Source organism: Homo sapiens, chromosome 12 (assembly GCF_000001405.40).
Source record: "Homo sapiens chromosome 12, GRCh38.p14 Primary Assembly".
NCBI classification, from domain to species: Eukaryota; Metazoa; Chordata; class Mammalia; order Primates; family Hominidae; genus Homo; species Homo sapiens.
Window position 1 is genome coordinate 92,180,551 of NC_000012.12, and position 8,024 is coordinate 92,188,574.

An 8,024-nucleotide genomic window follows, 5' to 3' on the forward strand; every position below is an offset into this window, starting at 1 on the left:
TTTGCAGCAAAACTTCAGAAGCAGAGGAAGTTTTCTCTTTGTCCCTCCAAGACATTTGGAAAACCACTACTGTAGTGGATTGACTAGTGTCCCCTCAACATTTTTATCTGCTCAGAATCTTGGAATGTGGCACTATTTGAAAACAGGATCTTTACAGATATGAGTTATGTATTTCAAGATGAAATAATCCTAGATTTGGAGTCTACCTTAAATATGACGACTAGTATCTTTATAAGTAAAAGGAGAGGCCAGGCACAGTGGCTTATGCTTGTAATCCCTGCACTTTGGGAGGCTGAAGTGGGAGGATTGCTTGAGCCCATGAATTCAAGACCAGCCTGGGCAACATAGTGAGACCCCATCTCTACAAAAAATAAAAAATAAAAAGATAGCTGAGTGTGGTGGTGCATGCCTGTAGTTCCAGCTACTGGAGAGGCTAAGGTGGAAGAATTGCTTGAGTCAAGGAGTTCAAGGCAGCAGCGAGCCATGATTGTACCACTGCACGGCAGCCTGAGTAAGAGTGAGACTCTTGGAAAAAAAAAGAGAGAGAGAGAGAAAAAAAAAAGAGAGAGGGAGATTGGAGACAGATATCCATAGAGAAGATGACCATATGAAGATGAAAATGGAGATTGGAATTATGCTGCCATAAAGCAAGATACACAGGAACCACCAGAAACTAGAATAATCAAGGAAGGATTCTCTTCTAGAGTTTGCAGAGGGAACATGGCCCTGCTGACACCGTGACTTTAGACTTCTAGTCTCCAAAACTATGTGAATAAATTTATGTTGTTTTAAGTCATCTAATTTGTGATCATTTGTTATGGCAGTCCTAGAAAACTAACACACCATCGTTTGGACTGCAACTGTGATCCTAGATGATTGCAAAAGGGCTGCAAACTTATTTTCTCTTCTCATTCCCAGAGAACTAAGAAAAAATATATAGATACACCTCAGAGATAGTGCGGGTTTGGTTACAGATCCCATAGTAAAGATAATACCACAATAATAAAAAAGAAACTCATAAAATTTTTGGTTTCCCAATACATGTAAAAGTTATGTTTAAACTGCTATGTCTGTTAAGCTGCAGTAATATCATGTCTAAAAAACTCAGTGGACAAACTTTAATTAAATTTTTTTTTATTTTTGAGACAGAGTATCTCTCTGTCACCCAGGCTAGAGTGCAGTGGCACGATCTCGGCTCACGGCAACCTCCGCCTCCCGGGTTCAAGCGATTCTCCTGCCTCAGTTTCCCATGCAAGTGGAATTACAGGTGCATGCCACCATGACCGGCTAATATTTGTATTTTTAGTAGAGACAGGTTTCACTATGTTGGCCAGGCTGGTCTCGAACTCCTGACCTCAGGTGATCCACCCGCCTCAGCCTCCCAAAGTGCTGGGATTACAAGCATGAGCCACTGCGCCCGACCTAAAAATATTTCTTGCTAAAAAAAATGCTAATGATCATCTGAGCTTTCAGTGAGTTGTAATCTGTTTGCCGGTAGAGGGCCTTGCCTTGATGTTGTTGGCTGCTGACTGATCAGGGTGGTGGTTGCTGAAGGCTAGGTGACTGTAGCAATCCCTTAAGATGAAACAATAATAAAGTTTGCCACGTCAATGGACTCTTCCTTGCATGAAAGATTTATCTGTGGCATGTGATCTGTTTGATAACATTTCACCCACAGAACTTCTTTCAAAATTGGAGTCGATCTTCTCAAACTCCGTCACTGCTTTATCAACTAAGTTTGTCATATTCTAAATCCTTTATTATTTTAACAACGTTCAGAGCGATCTTCCCAGAAGTAGATTCCATCTCATGAAACCACTTTCTTTGCTTAACCATGGGAAGCAACTCCCCATCTATTCAAGTTTTGTCCCAATATTGTAGTAATTCAGTCACATCGTCAGATGCCATTTCTAATTCTAGGTCGAGCTATTTCTATCACATCTGCCGTTCCTTCCTCCACCAAAGTCTTGAATCCCTCAAAGTCATCTATAAGGAAGAAGAATCAGCTTCTTCCAAACTCCTGCTAATGTTGATATTTTGACCTCCTCCAATGACTCATAAGCGTTTTTAATGGCATCTAGAATGGTGAATCTTTTCCAGAAGGTGTTCAACTTTGCCCAGATTCATCAGATGAATCACTATCTATTGAAGCTGTAGCTTCATGAAATATATTTCTTAAGTAAGAAGATTTGAAAGTCAAAGTTACTCTTTGATCCATGGGCTACAGAATGAATGCTGTATTAGCAGCCATGAAGACATTAATCTCCTTGTACAACTCCCTCAGAGCTCCTGGGTGACCAAGTGCATTGTCAAAGAGCAGTAATATTTTGAAAGGAATCTTTTATTTATTTATTTTTTTCCTGAGCAGTAGGTCTCAATGGTGGGCTTAAAATATTTAGTAAACAATGCTGTAAACGTATTTCCTGTTTGAAATATCTGCAAGTTTGAATTATTGAGCGAATCACCAAAACTGAACATGAGACACGAAGTGAGCATGTGCTTTTGAAAACAATAACACCAGTAGACTTGCTAGACACAGGGTTGCCACAAACCTTCAATTTGTAAAAAATGTACCAACTGCAAAGTGCAACAAAGCAAAGCACCATAAAACAAGGTATGCCTGTATTTAGACTGAGTAAGTGTATAACGTGATATCCGAGGACATACACATAACTTTACATATGTCATAATTTACTTATGTAATTTACATATTTTACATATGTAATTTACATAATTTACATATGTCATAACTTTACATATGTCACAATTTTAATTGCTAAAATTATTTCCCCATTTGACAAATGAGCACATAGGGGTTGAAAGAGTTTAAATAACTGGTGTCAAAAAGTGTGTAACAATAAGACTAACATTTGAGTGATTACCATGTGTTAGGCACCATGCCAGGCTGTTTATATAAATTATCTTAGCTCATCCTGACAGCAAAACTATACAGCTGGGTACTTTTCAATATTTCTCTATTTTAAAAATGAAAGAACTGAGGCACAGAGTGTAAATGATATGCCCAAAGTCTCTGGTACTTGGCAGAGGAAGAATTTGAACCCAAGGAGAATGATTCTAAAGCCCAGGTCCTATGCTGTATGTGGACACTGTGTCTTCACCAGCCCCTCCATCCCTGCCTCTGATTTCACAGGCACTCCACACACCCACTAACTGCCCTTTAGCATCCTGTAATTGTGATTCTATTATCTCGGCCATTTCCAATAGAATGCTTTCTTTAACTCTCTTACCAGTACTCTTATCACATCAAAACAGCAATAAAGTATGCTTATTTTTCCTGATTTCAGAGTTAATCTTTACAAAATGCTTTGGATATATGAAGCAAGTCTAGCAGCCAAAATATTATATAGGTTTCTACGATGTGTTCTGTTTGGGATTCCAGCAGCAAATCCACTCTGTTTTTTCTACATTGTTTGATCACAGTCAGTATTCTGCGTTTAGGCAGTTCTGAAGGGACCTTCTTATTTGTCACAATTATACAGTTGTAGTTTGATAAATGTTCAGCACCCTGGTACAACAATTGATTCTGTTTTTGTTGTTTTATCCCCCTTTTCCAGAATTGTATATTTCCACATATGCTGGACAATAGGCAGAAAGTGGAGACCCAAAGAACTTGTGATATGACGGACATAAGAAGCTTCAGTTGGCCTCAAATGTCAAATAATATCCTTCCTGAATAATCAAGAATGTCAAGCTTTTACTTTCTACATCTTGGACTGTACTTTGTACCAATCTCAAGTCCCATATGATGCACTTTCTAGGTGAAAAGTTTTTTTTTACAGACCTTAAATTTTTCTTTATTTACTTTTTAGAGTGATGGTATATATTAGTTTCACCACGTTAGTAATTCATGCTATATAAATGATAAGCCAAAGTAAGAAAAATAGTGAAATGAATTGCAAATCTAACTACATTTTTTAGTTTCCATAATCACCACAGAAATTGCTGTTAGTGCACTTGATCCAAGAAGAGTCATTCACAATCTCTCCCTTGCATGTTTCCCACCTGGATACAGATTCGTTTAGAGGTCAGCCTCTGACACAAGATCAGTCAATCCAATGCCTGCCATTATAGTTTTGGAAAGGTGCCTAAAAAGACATTAATTTTCCTCCAAATGACAGAAACTAAAGGCAGGTGAATGCGGCAGCTATTGGTGTACTTGGATGCTGAGGATCAGGCAGAGTGGCTTGGTAATGAGAGAGATGAATGAGACAGACACCCAGAGAGAAAGGAAATTAAGGAGCAGTAAAAGCATTTTACACCCCTCCCTCCACTCTGCCAACCCTCAGGGCTCATACACTTTTGCTAACTATATCACTTATGTGCTGTTGTATACCAAATTACCTCAAAACTAAGTGGCTTAACACAACAGCATGTATTATCCCACAATTTCTGTGGGCTGAGAATCTAGACAGGGAGTAGTTGGATCCCCTGTGTCAGAGTCTTCCACGAGTTTGCAGTCAAAGTCCTGACTGAGGTTGTGGTTTCATCTGAAATTTCAAATGGGGAAGGATCCTTTCCCAAGTTCACTCATATGGCTGCAGTAGGATTCAGTTTCCTGCAGACTGTTACACTAATAGCCTCAGTTTCTCACCACCTGTTGGCCAGAGGCTGCACTCAGTTTCTTGTCACATAAGCTTCTCAGCTCACAGCATGGCATCTGCCTTTGTCAGAGTGAAAAGAGAAAAAGCCACCAAGAAGGAAGTCATGGTCTAATCTTGGAGGAGAATCTTATGACTTTTGCTGCTCTCTTCTTGTTAGAAGCCACTACATCCAGCCTCTACTCATGGGAAGGAAATGACACAAGGTGTGGGTATCAGGAGGCAGAAATCTTTGAGAGCTGTTTTAAAAGCAACCTAACACACTGACATATTTCAGTCCTTAGGCACTGTAAAATAGCCCAAATATCCCTGCAGTACATCTGAATGCTTGCCTAAATTCTCCAAAATTCTTTTCTATTATTTACAATCAAAACTTCTTACATATATCGAATAGTTTAATTAAATCCAAATTTAGAATCAAGAGGCAATTGTATTATGAGAAAATATATTACTACATTTCTAAGTTCCTTTGTCACACATACACAAACACAACTAACAGAGTATTTAATAGTGATAAAGGCTGAGATATGAGAAAACAAAATACTAGGAATTCTTACTACTAGGAAAATAAATCCTATGAAGATGAAAATTGCTGAAATTTTCAAGTAGATAGTGAAAATACATGGTGGTTGTGGCATTTCTTCCTCTCCTCCCCTTCTTCCTCCTCCTCCTCCTCCTCATCCTCCTCCTCCTTCTTCTTTTAAAACCCTAAATACTTTCATGGAGGTCATTTATTTTTCCATGCTTTTCATTTTCTAAACATCTTAGTTTTCTCTCATCATCTTATACAGTGGAAAAAGTAAGCAAAAAAAATAGGATAACACTATGATAAATTTGAATGTTTCTCTGCTTCAGATTACAAGGTACGTTTTTGTGGTAATTATAAAAATTGAAAAAAAAATGGTGAAAACCCCTTATCTTGGGTTACTGTGTCAAGTAGGAAGTTGAGCAGCATTTCAAAAAACACCTTTAGCAAAAGTCCCCTCCCTGGTTTTTCCTGCAAACATTAACCTCAAGCGTTTAGTTCCTTCCATATTATTTATACATTTAACCTCAAAATTTTATTTAAGAAGTCACAAGAAGATCTAAGAAAAGGCCCAAATGTCAGCCATCTGTGGACCAGACCTGAAAATCTTCCTGGAGGAGATGAAAACCTCTCATTTCATAGAACTGAAAAAGGGCCATTGTATAGACCAGCAGCTGCGGTGCAGCTCCTCCAGGTCTCACCACTGAATCAGGAATCCTATAAATATGCACCTCAACCACATAAACAGTTTCTCTTCAGTTTCTGGATTGGAGTTTATCTTTGCTGTGCAGAATCAATTTAGCTTTGGACAGAAAAATTTGCAAGAAATCAAAAAAGCGGGTTTAAAAAGCAAACAAAGAGACAGGATGGGCACGATTTCCTAAACATACCAGAACAGAGCCATGTGTTGGATGCTATATAAGAAAGCAAAGAAATTCCCAAAAGATTACCTCAAGTTGGTTTCTCATTTTGGTAAAGATTTCTTGTGTCTCTTGGTTCTATCAATTTAAATAGAGCCTGAAAGATACAATGACAGTATAAACTATGTCCAAAAGACCTCCGAATCGGAAAGGGAAGTTTGGTGCCTCCCAAAAGGAGGGTGAGGGGCAGGAGAATATGGTGAATATATATCACTTTTCGCAGGCGCCTCTTCTGGATTTTGACCGTTATAAAGCAGAACAAATAGATAAAGAAAGAAGACTCACAAATGGCTTTTTTCATTAAGATGATATACCTTTCATTTCTACTTTTTCTCAGTTGATAAGCCCCAAAATAACACAGAGACACTGAAAAAAGCCTTCTTACAACCTTCTTACAATTTTCTATACTGCCAGTTTCACCAGCCTTTTAGGTGTTGGTTGGGACCCTACTGGCCTCTAACGCTGGTTTTTTCAGTAGTGTATCCACCAACTGGTTCTGATTGGCACTTTTCATCTTCAAATATGCGATGTTCTGCCTCACTGACAATGGCAGATGGGCCAGTAAATCTCAATCTTGACCTCACATTAGGATCACCTGGGAAAGTGTTAGAAAAACAAAATCCCAGTGTCCAGGCTTCTCCCTGGACCAATCAAATCTGAATCTCTAATGGTAGGATTCATGCACTGATATTTTTTGAAGCTTCCCAATGACTGCCATGTGTGGCCAAAGCTGAAAACCCCTGTTAGATTCTATTTTGGTATATTAACTATGATCTTAACTAATGAAAGTTGCTGAACTGCTGGGGAACTTGACTAAGCAATGGAATATCCCTTAGAAACACAATGAACACCCACTAATTTTAGGCAGTAACACAAAATTATTGGGGCCTTAATATTCTCTTTAGAGAAATACATTCCACAGAATTCCACAAGTTGTAGATGACATGTTCTCGCTTATGAAAGAATATGCCACCAGGTTCATAGGAGAAAAAATATGGTGCTGCTTTTACTAAGCCACCAAAGAGAACAACATAAGAAAATCATCAATTCCTAACTATGGTGAAAGTGCCTATAATATATCACAAACATGAGAAGCAACCTTTTCACCATTAAGTGGACTCTGACAAAGCAGTTAATAGAATCTTGAAGTCTAGAAGGAATCCTTTAAGATGTGTAATAATACTATTCTACACCTGAGGAACTTAGGGTCAGAGATAAGTGGCTAGTCTGATAATTTACTGCTCATGAGGGGTGTTATAAAAACTGCCCTTGTCCTCATTCCTAGTCCAGGGGTTGCATTTTTAATGTACACAGAAGCATTTAATTTCATGTATGGCCAATAGTAAACGCTCAATAAATTGTAGCTGTTGGGAGAAGTAATGATGATAGTATTAATGATCACATTGGTAATAATAATGTCTACGGGGTTTTCCAGTGTTATAAACACTGCCTTAAAATCCTTAGCAAATAAAAAACTATTTCTTGCTGGGCACAGTGGCTCATGCCTGTAATACCTGCTACTCAGGAGGCTGAGGTGGGAGGATTGATTGAGGCCAGGAGTTCAAGGCCACCCTGGGCAACATAGCAAGACCCCATCTCTAAAAACAACCAACCAAACAAAAACCTATTTCTTTTGTTGATGACACCTTATTTATTTGAAACACAAGAAATTTAAAAAGCAAAATAATAAACAGGGGAAATAAAAAGCCTTTCATTTAGAGCTGCAATGAAAATTTAGCATAGTCTTTCACTATTGAATGACTCATCAGTTGAACACTTTATGTAATTAATTATAAAATATATGTAATTTGATCTGATTTTGTCTAGAAGATTCTAGAGTATCATTTTCCTTATGCAAATACTATACATATGTTTATATCTAAAGAGTTAAAGGTACTTTCACAGGTTATTTAATTCAATTCTCACATACAATTAGAAAACGGAGATATTATCCCTCCT

General features: G+C 38.0%; 1 long non-coding RNA gene across 1 annotated transcript in view; it reads left to right on the top strand.

Moving 5' to 3' along the window:
* Positions 1-5,234, top strand: part of BTG1-DT (BTG1 divergent transcript) — a 39,700-nt gene extending 34,466 nt beyond the window's left edge. The window contains exon 3 of the long non-coding RNA NR_135036.1: positions 3,576-5,234. This is a non-coding gene — a long non-coding RNA (BTG1 divergent transcript). The remainder of the gene's footprint in view (positions 1-3,575) is intronic.
* The last annotated feature ends 2,790 nt before the right edge of the window (positions 5,235-8,024 follow it).